The sequence below is a fragment of the Homo sapiens genome, chromosome 3, assembly GCF_000001405.40.
Source record: "Homo sapiens chromosome 3, GRCh38.p14 Primary Assembly".
NCBI lineage: Eukaryota > Metazoa > Chordata > Mammalia > Primates > Hominidae > Homo > Homo sapiens.
This window is the reverse complement of record NC_000003.12, coordinates 178,151,048-178,169,559: the sequence shown is the minus strand read 5'-3', so window position 1 is coordinate 178,169,559 and position 18,512 is coordinate 178,151,048. Positions and strand designations below refer to the sequence as shown.

General features: G+C 33.9%; 1 long non-coding RNA gene across 1 annotated transcript in view; it reads left to right on the top strand.

The window, feature by feature from the left end:
* LOC105374235 (uncharacterized) overlaps window positions 1-5,862 on the top strand; it is a 221,596-nt gene extending 215,734 nt beyond the window's left edge. The window contains exon 11 of the long non-coding RNA NR_188692.1: window positions 5,445-5,862. This is a non-coding gene — a long non-coding RNA (uncharacterized LOC105374235). The remainder of the gene's footprint in view (window positions 1-5,444) is intronic.
* Window positions 5,863-18,512: the final 12,650 nt, after the last annotated feature.

Here is an 18,512-nt window from a genome sequence, read left to right as displayed (position 1 = left end):
ACAATGAAGAAAAGTTCATGTAGTTCCACATCCTTACTAGTATTACTAGTTAATGTAGCTCCATATTTTTACTAGTACTTGGTGTGCTCAGTGTTTTGGATTTTAGCCATTCTAATAGGTGAGCAGTAGTAACTTGTTTTAATTTACAATTCCCTAATGACATATAGTGTGGAACATCTTTTCATATGTTTATTTGACATGAGCATATATTTGGTGAGGTGTCTATTCAGATGTGTTACCCATTTTTTAATCACCTCATTTCTTTTCTTGCTGTGTTCTTTTTCAATTGTTAATTCTTATGGATACATAGTGGGTGAATGCATTTATGGGGTACATGAGATATTTTGACACAGGCATACAATGTGTAATAATCACCTCAGTGTAAATGAGGTATCCATCACCTCAAGCATTTATCATTCCTTTATGTTACAAACAATCCAGTTGTACTCTTTTCGTTATTTTTAAATGTAAAATAAATTGTTGTGGACTGTAGTCACCCTGTTGTGCTACCACATACTAGATCTTATTTATTTGATCTCATATACTTTTGTATTCATTAACCATCCCCATTTCCCATCCAACCACCCACTACCCTTCTAGCCTCTGGTAACCATCATTGTATTCCTTCCATGAATTCAATTGTTTCAATTTTTAGCTCCCACAAGTAATTGAGAACATGCAAAGTTTGTCTTTCTGTGCCTGGCTTATTTCACTTAACATAATATCCTCCAGTTGCTTCCATGTTGCTGCAAATGACAGGATCTCATTTTTTATGTAACGGAATAGTACTCCATTGTGTATATGTACCACATTTTCTTTATCTATTCATCTGTTGATAAACACTTAAGTTGCTTCCAAATCTTGTTTTTTGTGAGTAGCACTACAATAACCTGAGAGTATGGATTTCAGATTATCTCTTTGATATACTGACTTCGTTCTTTTGAGAATCCTAGCAGTAGGATTGCTGGGACATACAGTACTTCTATTTTTAATTTTTTGTGGAACCTCCATACTGTTATCCATAGTGGTTGTACTAATTTACATTCCCACCAACAGTGTATGAGGATTTTATTTTCTCCACATCCTCACCAGCATTTGTTATTGCCTGTCTTTTGGATAAAAGCCATATTAACTGGGGTGAGATGATATCTCATTGTGGTTTTGATTTGCATTTCTCTAATGATTAATAATGTTGAGCAACTTTTCATATACCTGTTTGCCATTTATATGTCTTCCTTTGAGAAATGTCTTTTCAGATCTTTTGTGCATTTTTAATGAGATTATTGGTTTTTTTTTCCTGTTGAGCAGTTTGAGCTCTTTATTTATTCTGGTTATTAATCCTTTGTCAGATGGATGTTTTACAAATGTATTCTCACATTCTATGGGTTGTCTGTTTATGTTGTTGATTGTTTCCTTTGCTTTGTGGAAGCATTTTAAGTTGATGTGATCCTACTTGTCCATTTTTGCTTTGGTTGTCCACACTTGTGGTGTATTACTGAAGAAATCTTTGCCCAGTCCAAAATCCTGGAGAGTTTCCCAGTGTTTTCTTTTAGTTTTAGTAGTTTCATAGTTTGAAGTCTCATATTTAAGTCTTTAATCTATTTTGATTTGATTTTTGTACAGGATGAAAGATGGGTCTAGCTTCATACTTCTGCATATGGACATCCAGTTTTCTAGCACCATTTATTGAAGAGACTGTCCTTTCTTCAGTGTATGTTCTTGGCACCTTTAGAAAAAATGAGTTCACTATCAAAGTATGGTTTTATTTTTGGGCTGTCTATTCTGTTTCACTGGTCTGTGTTTCTGTTTTTATGCTGGTACAATGCTGTTTATAGCTCTGTAGTATAATTTGAAGTCAGGCAATATGACTCTTCCAGTTTTGTTCTTTTTGTTCTTTTTGCTTGGGATAACTTTGGCTATTCTGGGTCTTTTGTGTTCCCATGTAAATTTTAGGATTTTTTTTTTCTATTTCTGTGAAGAATGTCATTGGTATTTTGATAGGGATTACATTGAATCTGTAGACTGCTTTGGGTAGTATATAGACATTTAAACAATACTGATTCTTCCAATCCATGAATATGAAATTTCTTTCCATTTTTTGTGTCATCTTCAATTTCTTACATCAGTGTTTTATAGTTTTTATTGTAGAGATCTTTCACTTCTTTGGTTGAGTTTATTCCTAAATATTTAGTTTTATTTTTAGCTATTGTAAATAGGATTACTTTCTTGATTTCTTTTTTAGATTGTTTGCTTTGACATATAGAAATGCCACTGATTTTTGCATCTTGATTTTGTATCCTGCAATTTTACTGAATTTATTTATCAGTTCTAATAGTTTCTTGTTGGAGTCTTTAGGTTTTACCAAATATAAGATTATATCATCTGCAAACAATAATAATTTTATTTCTTCTTTTCTAATTTGGATGCCTTTATTTGTTTCTCTTGTCTGATTGCTCTAGCTAGGATTTCCAGTACGATATTGAATAATAGTGGTGAAAGTGAGCATTCTTGTCTTGCTTCCAGTCTTAGAGGAAAGGCTTTTATTTTTTTCTTCATTCAGTATGATACTAGCTGTGGGCTTGTCATATATGGCCTCTATTATGTTGAGGTATTTTTCTCATATACACAGTTTTTTTAGGGCTTTTTATCCTGAAGGGTGTTGGATTTTATCAAATGCTTTTTCAGCATCAATTGAAATGATCATATGGTTTTTGTCCTTCATTCTGTTGGCATGATGTATCACATTGACTAATTTGCATGTGCTAAACCATCCTTGCATCCCTGAGATAAAACCCACTTGGACATAATGAACGATCATTTTAATGTGTTGTTAAATTTGGTTTGCTAGTTATTTTGTTGAGGATTTTTGCATAAATGTTCATTAGGAATATTGGCCTGTAGTTTTCTTTTTTGATGTGTCTTTGTCTGGTTTTGGCTTCAGAATAATACTGGCCTGTTTGAATGAGTTTGGAAGTATTTCTTCCTCCTCTTTTTTTTTGGAATAGTTTGAGTAGGATCAGTATTATTTCTTCTTTAAACATTTGGTAAATTCAGCAGTGAAGCCACTGGGTCCTGAAGTATTCTTTGCTGGGAAACTTTGTTATGGCTTCAATCTCATTACTTGTTATAGATCTATTCAGGTTTTAGATTTTGTTATGGTTCAATGTTGGTAGGTTTAGGAACTTATCTATTTCTTCTAGGTTTTCCAATTTATTGGCATATAGTTGCTCATAGTAGTCTCAAATGATTCTTTTAATTTCTGTGGTATTAGTTGTAATATTTCCTTTTTTGTCTCTGATTTTATTTATTTGAATCTTTCTTTTTTCTTCATCTTGCTAAAGGTTGGTTGATTTTATTCATCTTTTCAAAAACAACTTTTCATTTTATTTATCTTTGGTATCTTTCTAAATTTCAATTTCATTTATTTCTGCTCTGATCTTTATTATTTATTCTCTGATCTTTATTATTAATTTTAGGTTTGGTTTGCTCTTGCTTTTTTCATTCTTTAAGATGCATAATTAGGTTATTCATTTATGTTTTTCTACTTTTGCGATGTAGGTGCTTATTGCTATAAACTTTCCTTTTATTACTGCTTTTGCTGTATCCCATAGGTTTTAGTATGCTGTGTTATCATTTTCATTTGTATGAAGGCATATTTAAATTTTCTTCTTAATTTCTTCATTGGCCCACTGGACATTCAGGGGCATGTTTTTTGATTTCCATGTGTTTGTATAGCTTTCAAAGTTCCTTTTGTTATTAATTTTTAGTTTTATCCCACTGTGGTCAGAGAATATACTTGGTATGATTTTAATTTTTAAAAAAATTTTTTAAAGACTTATTTTGTGGCCTAACATATGGTCTGTCACATGGTGAATGATCCATGTGTGGAGGAGAAGAATGTATATTCTGCAGTTGTTGGATTAAATACTCTGTAAATATCTGTTAAGTACATTTGGTCTATAATGCAGAGTAAGTCTATTGTTTCTTTGTTGATTGTCTGCATTATCTGTTCAATGCTGCAAGTGGGGTAGTCAAGTCATCAGCTATTACTGTATTGGGATCTGTTTCTGTATTTAGCTCTAATAATATTTGCTTTATATATCTGAGGGTTTCAGTGTCGGGTACATATATATTTACAGTTGTTCTATCCTCTTGCTCGATTGACCTCTTTATCATTATGTAATGACCTCTTTTTTTGTCTCTTTGTAGTTTTCATCTTGAAATTTATTTTGTCTAAGTATAACTACTCCTGCTCTTTTTTTGCTTTCCATTGGCATGATATATCTTTTTCCATCCCTTTATTTTCAGTCTACGTGTATTTTTATATGATCTTTATATCTTTATATGATGAAATGTTCTTGTTGAATTTTAAGAGTTCTTTGTACAATTTTGGTAACAGCTCTTTCTCAAATATGTGATTTGCAAATATTTTCTCCCAATCTGTGACTTGCCTTTTAACTCTCATAACAGTGTCTTTTACAGAGAATATTTTACTTTTAATAAAGTCCAACTTGTCATTATTTTCTTTTATGGATCATGTTTTTGATGTTATATCTAATAACCCATCACCAAAATGTAGATCCCTATTATTTCTCCTTTGTTATTGTTCAAAATTTATAGTTTTTTTATTTTACATTTAGGTCTGTGATTCATTCCCCTTTTATTGTTCCAGCACCATTTTTTTTTTAAAAAAGATCATCCTTTCTCCATTAAATTGCTTTGTTTCTTTGTTAAAGATCAGTTCACTATGTTTGTGTTGGTCTATTTTAGAGCACTCTATTCTGTTCTATTAATCTATTTGACCATTCTTTCATCAATATCATGCTTTCTTGGTTACTATAGCATGATAATAAGTATTGAAATGAGGTATTCTTCCTATTTTATTCTCCTTCTACAGTGTATTGCATATTCTAGGTCTTCTACGTTTCCACATTAAATTTAGAATTAGTTTGTCTGTATCCACAAAGTAACTTACTTAGATTGTGTTGAATCTATAGATAAAATTTGGAAGAATTGATATCTTAATAGTATGTACAATATGAACACATTGGAGAATTCATATTTAATCCATGAACATGAAATCTCTCCATTTCTTTAGATCTTTTAAATTTCTTTCATCAGAGTTTTCAAATTTTTGTCTTATAAATTATGTACATGTTTTATCAGATTTAGACCTAGGTATATTATTTTTTGGTGCCAGTGTAAGTGATATATTTTTAATTCCCCAAATTTTATTGCTAGTATACCTGAAAGTAATGGATTTTTATATATTAATCATGCATTCTGCAACCTGGTATGATCACTCATTAGTTGGAGGAGTTTTTGTTGGTGGTGGTAATTCTTTTTTATTTTTTACAATTATGACCTCTGGAAACAACAGACCGTATATGTCTTCTTTCTCAATCTTTATACGTTTTATTCCTTTTCTTGTCTTATTTCCTCAGCTGGATCTTCTGTTACAAGATTGAATAAAAGTGGTAAGAGGGGCTATCCTTGCTTTGTGCCCCGTCATAGAAGAAATGCATCTATTTTCTCATCATTTAATGTGATGTAGCTGTGGACTTTTGGAAGGTTTTTTTTTTTTTTTTTTAAATCAAGTTGAAGTAGTTCTACCCTATTCCCAATTTGCTGAGAGTTTTTATCATGAATGAATGTTGCATTTTTGCAAATGCTTTTTCTGAATCTATTGACTTCTGATTGTATAATTTGTCTTTGTCATATGATCATTTGGTTTTTCTCCTTTATCCTGTTGATGTGATTGATTATATTAATGTATTTTTGTGATTGATTATATTAATGTATTTTTGAATGTTGAATCAATCTTGCATACCTGAATAAATTTCACTTGGTTGTGGCATATAATCCTTTTTATATGTTATTGAATCTGATTTGATAATATTTGTTGAGGAGGTTTTCGTAACATCTATGTTCATAAGAGATATTGGTCTGTAGTTTTCCTTTCTTATAATGAATGTCTTTATCTGTTTTGGTATTAGTGAAATATTGGCCTTATAAAGTGAGTAAAGAAGTGTTTTCTCTACTTCTAATTTCTGAAAGAAATTGTAGAGAATTGACAACATTTCTTCACTAAATGTTTAATAAAATTCAACTATGAAGCCATCTAAGCCTGTGCTTTCTTTTTACAAAGATTATTAATTATTGATTCAGTTTCTGTGCTTTCTTTTTACAAAGATTATTAATTATTGATTCAGTTTCTTTAATAGATACAGACTCATGGAGGTTATCTATTTGGTATTATGTATCTTTCAAGGATTTGGCCCACTTCATCTTGGTTACCAAATTTGTAAGCATAGAATTGTTCAAAATATTCTTTTATTACTCTTTTTAATGTCCATAAGAGAAGTAGTGATGTTCCTCTATCATTTCTAATATTATTAATTTATGTCTTTCTTCTTGGTTAGCCTGGTTAATGAACCAGCTTCTTATTTTGTTGATTTTCCCTTTTTTATGTATATTTTACTTATTTCTGATCTAATTATTATTATTTCTTTTTTTCTGTTTGTTTTAGGCCTACATTGCTATTCTTTCTTCAGTTTTCTATGGTGAGAGCTTAAGTAGTTGATTTTAGATCTTTTTATCTTTTCTATATACGTTCAACGCTATAAATCTCCCTGTAAGTACTGATCTTGCTGAATTCCACAAATACTGATAAATTGTATGAAATGCTTTATTTTCATATAGTTCAACATATTTTTCATTTATTTTGATACTTCTAATTTTATCCACGTGTTATCTGAAAGTGTGTTTAATCTCTAATATTTTTGGAGTTTCTAGCTATCTTTCTATTATTGATTTCTACTTTATTTTCATTGTGGTCTGACAGAATACTTTGTATAGTTTCTATTCCTTTAAGTTTGTTGAAACTTAAAAGAATGTTTTTATGGCCCAGAATGTCATCTCTCTTGGTGAATGTATCATGTGAGCTTGAAAAGAACATGCATTTTCTTGTGATTGGATGCAGCATTCTACATAAATGTTAGTTAAATCTAGTTTATTAATGATGCTGTTTAGTTCAACTGTGTCCTCACTGATTTTCTGCCTGCTGGATCAATCAATTAGTGATAGATTAGTGTTCAATTCTTCAACTAGAGGAGTTCATTTTTCTCTTTCTCTTTGCAGTTATATTATTTTGCCACATTTATTTTGATGCTCTATTTTTACGTGCATAAACATTAAAGATTATTGGGTCTTTTTGGAGAATTAACACTTTTATCATTATATAATGCTCCTATTTATCCCCAATAATTTTCTTCATTCCAAAGTCCACCCTACTAGAGATTAATATAGCTCCTCTAACTTTCTTTTGATTAGTGTTAATGTGGCATATCTTTCTTCATCCTTTTACTTTAAACCTACATGTGTCTTTATGTTCAGTGTGTTTTTGTTGATCACCTGTAGCTGGGTCTTGTTTCTTGATCCTCTTTGGCAATCTCTGTCTTTAAATTCTGTCTTTAAATTAAATTGTATTTATACTGTGCATATTTAAAGTGATTATTGATATGGTTAGTGTAATCTTGATCACGTTTTAACTGTTTTCTGTTCCCTACACTTGTTCTTTGTTTATACATTCTCTGATTTTAGTTGATAGTCTTATGATGCGATTCTCTCACTTATCTTAGTATATCAATTATACTTCATTTTTAATTTTTTCAGTGATTGCTCTATAGTTTTCAACATAAACCTACAATTAATATGTGCTCACTTTCCAATAACACTACGCTCCTTCATGGGTAGTGCAGGGGCCTTATGACCAAGTATGTACTCTCAATTCCTCCCTCCCATCCCTTATGTGATTGCTGTCATTCCTGTCACTTATCTATATAATTTCCTGGTACATTACTACTATTATTACAATGAACACATAGTTATCCATCAGTTTAATTAAAAATAAAAATTAAATATTATATTTTACTTTCATTTATTTCTTCTCTGATGCCTTTTCTTTCTTTGTGTACATCCGTATTTCTGACCTATATCATTTTCTTTCTCTCTGAAGAACTTCTTATAACATTTATTGCAAAACATATCAACTGGCAACAACTCAAACAGTTCTTGTTTGTTTGAGAAGATATTTATTTCTTCCTTACATTTGTTAGACACAGAATTCTAGGTTGGTGTTTTATTATTTCAACACTAAATATTTCACTTCACTTTATTCTTGCTTCCATAGTTTCTGGTGACAAGTGCAATGTATTTCTTATCCTTTTTCTTCTATAGTTTTGACTTCTTTTTCCCCTTCTGGCTTTCTGCAAGATTTTGTGTTTTTTTTTGTCCTTAGTTTTCTACAGTTTGAATATGGTATGCCTAGATATAGAAATTTTTGTATTTATCCTGCTGTGTGTTCTCTAAGCTCCCTAGATTTGTGGTTCAGTGTCTGCCATTAATTTGAAAAATTATCAGCCATTATTAATTCAAATATGACTTCTATTTTTCCTTTTTCTTTTCTACACAGTATTCCCATTACACGTATTTTACAACTTTTATAATTATTCCACAGTCCTTAGGTATTTTATTTATTTATTTATTTATTTATTTATTTGAGATGGAGTCTTGCTCTGTCACCAGGCTGGACTGCAGTGGCACGCTCTCGGCTGACTGCAACCTCCGCTTCCTGAGTTCAAGCAATTCTCCTGCCTCAGCATCCCGAGTAGCTGGGATTACAGGCAAAATGCCACCATGCCCAGCTATTTTTTGTATTTTTAGTAGAGACAAGGTTTCACCATGTTGGCCAGGATGGTCTCAATCTCCTGACCTTGTGATCTGTCCTCCTCAGCCTCCCAAAGTGCTGGGATTACAGGCACAAGCCACCATGCCCGGCCTATTTTATTTCTTTTTCCATTCCTTTTTCTTTTTGCATTTCAGTTTGGGAAGTTCTATTGGCATACCTTGAAGCTCACTGCATCTTTCTTTGACTGTGTCAGTCTACTGATGAGCCCATCAATGGTATGCTTCATTCAGTTACCGTGTTTTTTATTTCCAGCATTTCCTTTAGATCCTTTCTTAGATCTTCTCTCTGCTTACATCACCCAGTAGATTCTTGCATGTCATCTACTGTTCTACTAAGTCCCTTAACATATTAATATTAGTTATTTAAAATCCTTTATATGATAATTCGAAAATCTTTTTCATACTTGAGACTTTCTGATTCCTGTTATGCTTCCTCAGGCTATGTTCTCTCTTGCCTTTTATATTGCCTTTTAATTTTTTAATGAGTACTGGACATGATATATTGGGAAATAAGAACTAAGGTAATTAGGTAAGGTGTGTGGTTTATGCTAATCTAGCTAGGAGCTGAGCTATTTTTAATAAGTGTTGTAGCCGTGGGTGCTAGAGGCTTTAGTTTCCTCCAGTGTTCTTGCAGATTTTTTTCTTCCCTGTTGTCTTTGGCTTTTCCTAAGAACTCCTTCTTAAACTGTCTCTCTGTGTCTTGCAGTTCTCTCAGTTGTAATCCACTGTTACTAAACTGAAGCCCCATTAGTGTGCTGGTAAGGTGTTGGGGAAGGGAAACATTCTATAATCTTATAATGAAATCTCTTTCTTAGTGGGCATGAATCCCTCAGCTGTGAACTTCTATAGCATTTCTTAGCCTTTTATTTTTCCTTCCTTTATATTAGACAGGAAATCTGTAGGGGGTGGGAGTTGACTAATTGCCCTTCCTCCAGGTCAGATAAGGCTCCGGTAGTTTCCTCTGGAGAGCTGGCCTTTGTTATGGAGAACACAAGAGACATATTTTAAATGGTTACTTTTCCCTACCACCTGCCAAAAAACAGGAGGGAATTTTTTATTGTACATTTCATTAGTGAGTAGATTTAACTGAATCCCAAAACATTTTGATAGGTCATTTTGATTATATTTTATCATTTATTATAATTTCTTCCTTCATCCATGGGTTATTAAAAAAGGTACTGCTTAATTTCCACATTTGGGGGTTTCAGCTGTCATTGCCAAAGACCACCAGGCATACATCTGTGGCTGAACAAGTTGGTTTTATTTTACAAAACAGCAAAGGGATAACTTACACTATGAGGAACTGTGAGGCATAGTGGGAAGGTGTTATAAATTGTGGAAATTTTGTTTGATTGAGTAATTTTGGGGATGATTAAAGGATGTAGAAGTTTACTCTAGATTAGGCATTATCAGAAAGCAGGGACCATTTTATGATTGGCTATCTTACTAAATCTCATCTCTAGGTAGGTGACACTAAAGAGGGCTTGCAGCTATAGCTGATCAAGAGGGAGCAATTACTCATATTTCCCAGAAGTGGAGGATGTTTGGTGTTTTGTTGTTTGCATAAACATTGATCTTGTTTTCAACAGTGTTTTAAACTGAATTATGAAGTGGTTTTAATTTTTCTCATTCTATCACGGTCTCAGAGTGACCTTGTCTAACGTTGCTGTTTTGTGGGATTGTTTATACCCACCTGGAGAAGAACATGGTGTAACTGTGAGCACCAGGCCTGCTCTCACACTAAAGCCTAGCTATGAGCATCAGATCAGTTCTTCGATGTCATGGGCTGCTTTTTGGCTTTCTCACAAGCTATCTTTCAGTTATTGATTTCTAGTTTATTTTCATTGTGGTCAGGGAATACACTCTGTATGATCTCAGCCATTCATATTTCTTGAGACTTACTTTAAGACACAGCATATGGTGGATTCTGGTAAACATTTCATTTATACCTGAGTAGAATTTTTATCCTGCACATGTTAGATAAAATGATCTGCATTCATATCAAGTTTGTTAATAGTTTTGTCTATATATTCTATATTCTTCTGATGATTATCTTTACCTCTTTATTCTATTAGTTACAGAAAAGTGTGTTAAAATCTTTCAATAGAATTATGGAAATGTGTATTCTTCCTTTTGGTTCTGTCAAGTATTGTCATATAATACCTATAAGAATGTTATATTTAAATTGGCTGGGTATGGTGGCACATGCTTGTAGTCCCAGCTAGTTGGGAAGCTGAGTCAGGAGGACTGCCTGAGCCCAAGAGATTGAGGCTGTAGTGAGCTGAGATTGTACCACTGCACTCCATCCTGGGTAACAGAATGAGATGCTGTCTTAAGAAAAAGAAAAAAAGTTATATCTTTCTATTCAGGGTACTTTATTACTATTGTGAAATGTACCTTTTTATCTCTAGTAATATTTTTGTATCAAAGACATTTGTCCGATATTAATATAGCCAGAGATCTACCTTTTGGTTAGTACTTGCAAGGTATATATTTTTTAATGATTGTACTTTCAACCTATCTGTGCTGTATTTCAAATGTGGCTCTTATAATAGCACATGGTTGTGTTTTGTTTTTATCTGTTGACAATCCTTGTTTATAAATTGGAATTTTATTCCATTACATTTGATGTAACTACCATTATGTTTGGATTTAAGCCTACTATGTTGCCAGTTGTATCCTACTGTGCTAGTATCTCCTTTGTTTATTAATCCTTTCTTAACCTTTGAATTAATCAGGGATTTTAAAAATTCTACTTTGTTTCTTTTGTTAGCATCATACTTACAGCTTCTTTTAACATTACCTGAGAAATTTTTCTGGGGCTTATAATATTCTCCCTTCACATGTTAGAGTTTGCTTTAAATTAGTACATTTATTACTGCCTAAACAATACAAGAACTTTCTCACAGTTTAACTCCTAATTTCTCCTGCTTTTTGAGCTATTATTTTTGTTATCTATTTTACATCTAATTAACTTTTTAAAAATCAGTGTCATTTTATTAGTGCTTTTAAACAATTCATGTAAACATATATTTACCCACATATTTTTCCATTTTTGTTACCCCTCATTCCTTCCTGCAGTTACATGCCTTCATGTGAGGTAACCTTTATTCTTCCCAAATAACTCCCTTTAATATTTATTTATTTAATATTTATCATAGTGCAGGTATATTAGCAACAAATTCTCTATAAAGATGTCTTTATTTTGCCTTCATTTTTAATATTCTTTGATCTTTGAATAACTAGATTGACAGTTTTTTTATTTTTTGGTTTTTTACCACTTGAAAGATATTCTTGTATTGTGTTCTGGCTTCCATAGTCCTTGTTGAAAAGTTAGCTTTCAGTTTTATTATTGATCCTCTGAGGTAATAAGTGCTGTTCTCTTTCTTTGCTTGTTTTTTTTATTTAGTAGTTTGACTAGGATGTTCCTGTTTGGTTTTATTTGCATTTATTTGCTTTAATAAGGGTTCTTGAATCTGTAGTTTAATGTGTTTGTTTAAAGCTGAATATTTCTACCCAGTATTTTTTTTAATATTGCTTATTTTTCATTATCTTTCTCTTCTCTTTCTGAGCTCAGAAAGCGCTTTTGCTTCAGCCTAGAGGGGCTGCTGCTTTCTGCCTGGGTCCCATTCCTTAATGATACTATTTGGAGTAGAATATGCCCAGAGGGCAAAAGGCAGGGTGAATGCATATTATTTATGCTTTTCAATCCAATACAGTCAACTGCATCATGACCAGAACTGGAAGTCAACGATTTTATATTAAAATGATAATATTTGTAAAAAACAGTGACTGTATTCTTTGTAACTCTAAATTTATAAGGAAAATGATTAGATGTCATTCAAAATTATCTGAGAGGATGCCCTTGTTAGGGGAATTCTCTCAGGATTTGCATGAACAATAATATCTGAAGATCATTAGTATGAAGAGGGGATTGGTATCACTGGGCGGGGGGCTGACCTATCTACTGTGATAACTGCTTCTAATACAGCTGCTCAGGAGGAGAAAAATTTGCTTTTCTTTTGTCAAGAGAAGTAACAGCACCACATAACAGTTTGAAGAGGTGTTTTTACTGTCCAGAAAGTCAATCATGGCCTATGTGAAGGCTGTAAATCTAGAGAAGTTCAGCAACAGCACAGGAAGTGGTATGTGGAGGACACTGAAATTGATGGTCCAGGGTCATTTAATAAGGGTGGGTGTTTTATTACCTGAATGTCACAGCAATGGTGCCCAACAGAGCAAAGAGTTGGTTGGAAGAGAAGGGACTAGAGCACAAAGACCGGTGAGCAACAGGCAGCAGCTCTTATTATATATGCAATGGCCCTTCCCTACCACTTCACACGAAAAGAAACTAAAAACAGTATTATCTAGAATCAATCAAAAGGGGAACTGTATGGGCATTTGGCTAATGCGTATAAATAGCAATAGGAATTCATGGTTATATTTGGGGAAAGGGAATTTGGAGGAACAGACTGGATTTCCTACTAAGCGCTCTGTGGCTCTGGAACATAAAGATTTGTATGATTACTATAACATGACAAGGAAGGTGACATCTGGAATATGCTAGTTACACTATTATTTCTGTGCCTTATTCTGCCCTGTGTCATAATTATATGTGTAAATGTCTATGTTTCAAAGTTCTTTGAGTATAAGGACTAAATTTAATTTGCTTTTATAACCCTCTGTAGTGCTTGGTATAGGAAAACTATCAGATTGACTTTTTAAATGAACGAAAAAATTAATCAATCAATTAAAAATGGCAAAATATAGAATCTTAGCATCCTCTCTAGTTTTTTATTGCCCCCTCCCAGCTCTGATCCCTTCTCTGCATGTCTGTACCCTGTTCTCTGTTCTATATCTGCTGACCCTCCCCACAGCTTAACCATCAGGATCGCACTGACTGTTTTCCACTCTGGCTAAGGGAAGGACCTAGAGATAAGGGGAGAGAGAGATTGAGGTATTTCTTCCCCTCCGCTTTCTCCCTTCAGTGTCATTGCTGTGCTCCAGTGACTTCTACCTGAAAGCCAACCCTTCTTCCAAAGCTGGCACTCTCACTGGATTCCACTTGTACAGTTTTCTCCTCCTGCCTATTCAGGCCTAGAGATGGCAGTGGCTTCCCACCTTTGCTAGGCCAAGTGGGCCTTCACATTCCTCATTGGTTCCTCCAATCCTTCACAGGTTTCTATAAGTTCTCATTAAATTTTCTTTAAAAATCCCTTCTATGTGTGCCTTTGATTCTGTCAAGACCCTGACTGACCCACTTAGAAAGATCAAAATTAAAGTCAGGTGCAGTGGTCATGCCTGTAATCCCAGCATTTTGGGAGGCTGAGGCAGGTGGATCACCTGAGGTCAGGAGTTCGAGACCAGCTGGGCTAATATAGCAAAACTCCATCTCTACTAAATTACAAAAATTAGCCAGGCGTAGTGGTGGGCACCTCTAATCCCAGCTACTCGGGAGGCTAAGGCAGGAGAATCGCTTGAACCCGTGAGGTGGAGGTTGCAGTGAGGTGAGCTGAGATCGTGCCACTGCACTCCAGCCTGGGAGACAGAATGAGATTCCATCTCAAAAAAAAAAAAAAAGAAAAGAAAACAAGAAAAGAAAGATAAAAGTTAGTACTACTTGGTGGTAAGTGAGTTACTTTATTTTTCATACATTCATTTTGAAATATTACTGCTTTTGAACAATGTAATCCTATTTTAGGCAAACTATTTGTTCACAACATGACTGTGGAGTGATAGAATTGATTTTAGAATATTAGAATGTTTGGACCTTGATCTAAATAGTCACCTCAGGAGGTTTCTATGGGACTGTACTTATAAATCGTTTAGAAGATTGCTGTCCTCAGAACAATATTTATGTATTATATTTTATATTTTTTCTGAATATTCCTAGTGGTGGCAAAAGCTTCCTTTGTATTTGATTTTGGTACCAATCTTTAGTCTTTCAGACAAAAATTTGGAAATTGAACCAGATGACAAAAATGGATGGTAAGGATATGTCCCCTCCCCTAAAATGGATGAGTAGTACCCTAGCAGTACAAATACATTTGTACATGCTTATTTAGATGCATAAATTCTAGTATGTTTGTCAAAAACATTGTCTTTTTATATAAAAAACCACACCTTGTACATGACCATTGATTGTCTTCAAAGTACATGTGTCACTAAAATAAATAATACTATAATTTTATCTTGACCTTAAACTTACAGGTATTTCATAATTGGGCACTTAACAAATGTTTCTTATCAATAAATAGTATTTATTGAATGTCTGGGTGTTTGTAATATCATTGTTTATTACACAACTCAGCCTAGGAGTGATTATTCTTAACCTCTTAAAACAATATTTTTCCCTCTTAATCTGAAGAGTCAATATTTTCCCCTCTTTTAAAAACTGTATTTCTTCCTTGAAGTTTGTCAGTGATGGAGTAATTTTTCTCTTGAGATAATATTAGTGAGAAAATAGTGTGTGTGTGTGTGTGTGTGTCTGTGTGTGTATTCATCTTACATCCTCATTTATCTTTAAGTAAATAGCTATTTTCCAATGAAGATTTGTATTTAAAATTATTTATTACTCCCCTAAAATTCTTAGGGTAAGAACATAACCATTTGTATATTTATGTGAAACCATGAGAACACTATAGGTTCTTATGAAGAAATGCATAATGAATAAAAAACATGAACATCTATATAAGTACCTGAACCAAATAGAAATAGATATTTTTGATTGTTTTAAATTATAATGGCTTTAAGATTTATCTCATTTTAAAAAATAAGGGAATTTATTTTTCTCCCTTTTCCACCTTCAAGACTTCAGGATGATAAAGAGAAATGCCTGTCTCCCTTGGAATTACTAAGGAGAAATTATCTATTCTTCTTTCCCCTTCTCATTGGCTCCTTTCCACAGGAGGAAAACATTTTTATCTAATTGGCAATATGATGAGAACTTGATAGTCATTTATGCAGTTTTTTTTCTGTTTGGCACAGTTAAGATGCTAAACATTGTAATGACTTAATAACAACAGACCAAATCATAGATCTTTCTAGCTGAAAAGGGCTTTAAAAAATCATCCAGTTCCATCTTCAACTTTGAAATTGAAAGGAGCAGTGCCCAGAGAGATTCCTTTGTCTATGGTCAAACATAGATAAAATGTTTTTGTATTAGATTAAATAGTTGTTTGCATCTCTTATTTTTTCTTTTAAAACAAATGGCCATTATTTTATTTTTTTATGGGTAAGTAGTATTCCATCATGCATAGAAGTCACATGTTCTGTATCCAGTCATCCATGGATGGACACTTAGGTTGATTCTATACCTTTGCTATTGTGAAAGTGCTGAGATGAACATATGAGTGCAGGAATCTTTTCGGTGTAATGATTTCTTTAGCTTTGGTTAGATACCCAGTATTGGGATAGCTGGTTAGAATGGTAGTCCTGTTTTCAGTTCCTTGAGAAATCTCCACACTGTTTCCCATAGAGGTTGTACTAATTTACAGTCCCACCAACAGTGTACAAGCATTCCCTTGGGTGGAACTGGAGGCCATTATCTTAAGTTAAATAACTCAGAAACAGAAAGTCAAATACTGCAGATTCTCACTTTCAAGTGGGAGCTAAGTAATGTGTATACATGGACATGGAGTGTGGAATTGCAGACATTACAGGTTTAGAAGGGTGAGGGGGAGGGTGATGAGAAATTGCTTAATGGGTACAATGTACATTATTCAGGTGATGAATACACTAAAAGCCAAGAATTCACCAATATATAATATATCTATGTAACAACTGCACTTGTACCCCTTAATTGTATACAAATAAAAATTTAAAAGCAAATTTAAAAAAACCAATGACCATTTTCTGTGTCTTTCTTCTACAAATACAACTAGAAATAAGGTACAGAACAACTCTTGGCCAGGCGCGGTGGCTCTCAACTGTAATTCCAGCACTTTGGGAGGCTGAGGCAGGCGGATCACTTGAGGTCAGGAGTTCGAGGCCAGGCTGGCCTACATGTCAAAACCCCATCTCTACTATAAAAATCTATGGCAATCTATGGCATGGTGGCGCACCTGTAATCCCAGCTACTGGGGATGCTGAGGCAGGAGAATCTTTTCAGCCCAGGAGGCGGAGATTGCAGTGAGCCAAGATCACGCCCCTGAACTCCAGCTTGGGCAACAGAGCAGCCCTGTCTGAAGGAAAAAAAAAGGTGGGGGGAGGGGCAGACTTGCCTGCCAGTGCATCCATAACTGCCGTGATCACTAGTGGCGGTCACCCATATACCTCATAGAATTATTCCTTTGGATTTTTAAAGATTTCTGTAGGAGTTTTGTCTCCAAGAATATTTAAGCTCTTCTCTGTCTTGTGGAAAATGATTTTTTCCTGACATTTCAGTGATCACAAGGCAGCTGGTCTCATCTAAAAACAACAACAAAAAGCAAGTGACAGGATGACTGGGGGAAATGCTAGTCTATGTTTGAGAGGGCCGCAGATTGTCAGCATTTTTAAAAAGCTTGCAAAAGCTAAAGTGATGGACGTCAGTGACTGTAATGATTTCTTTTTTGTAGTTATTGCTATCAAAAGATGGCGCTGTACATATTTTAATGTGACTACCACCCAACTCAAAGGGTTGCCTAGGAAAAAAGTTGAAATTCTGACATTACTTAGATGAGCTGAAAATACTTATGTGATCCTCTTGTTATAATAAAATCTACCAGTGTTGAAAAAAATAGAAATAATCAATGCATGGCTTTAAAAATTCAGTCTCACACATTTAGGAAAAGATTCTACTGCACTCCTAAGGCAACTGCCTGACGGGTTCTGGGAAATAAGAAGGGAGTAAAAAAATATTATCTAGTTTTAGTAGATAGAAAAGCTCATTACAAATGGCATAGCTTAGCAGGAGAGATGAGAGTTGATTAGAGAAAAACACTGTTGGCTGGTCAAAATATCTGACAATGGAAAAATTAGTCAACTACACATTTTAGATAGTTCACAATTAACAAATGGCCCAATATTCTACACAGCATGACATCTGTTAGAAAATTTATTAAAATCACTGAAGCTACACCAAATATTTCAGTAGAAATATTTTGACTACAGAATCTAGTGGGATAGCCTCAATTGTGAGCCACAAAGTTGCAAAGTAACTAGTATCTGCCTCATCTCAGCCGTTCATAATAAGTATCCAACTAGCTTCAGGGTAGAGGTCTCTTTCTCTCTACTAGAAGCAAGGGAAAACAGGGAAATACATAATAACTGGTTCCCTGAAAACCAATGGGTGTTAGCCCTATGTCCAAGAACAGCAAAGCCAGGCTTTTTTGATCCATGAGATGCCCTTCTCCAATGCTCCCTTGAAGGCAGGCTATCTTTGAGTTTTCTTTCTGTCTAGTCTTTTTGGTACTTCTCAAGAAGTACCAAAAAAAAGACACAAATTCAAGACTTAGAAAGGCCTAATATTGATCAATGTATTGAGACCTATCCCCAGTTTATTTCTTAGAAACATCAGAATTCTGTACCTGACATCCTTGTTATCATTGTTCTGTACTGATAAGGTTCTCCATTCTCCATGAATCAGATTCAGATTCAGCCTTTCTCTCTACTTCTTTTTTTTTATTTTATTTTTTTTTTTAGACAAAGTTTCATTCTTGTTTCCCAGACTGGAGTGAAATGGTGTGATCTCGGCTCACTGCAACCTCGGCTTCCCAGGTCTCTACCTTTTTTAAAAAATGTAATCACCAAGTAAATTTAAGGTTCTAGCATTTACAAGGAAT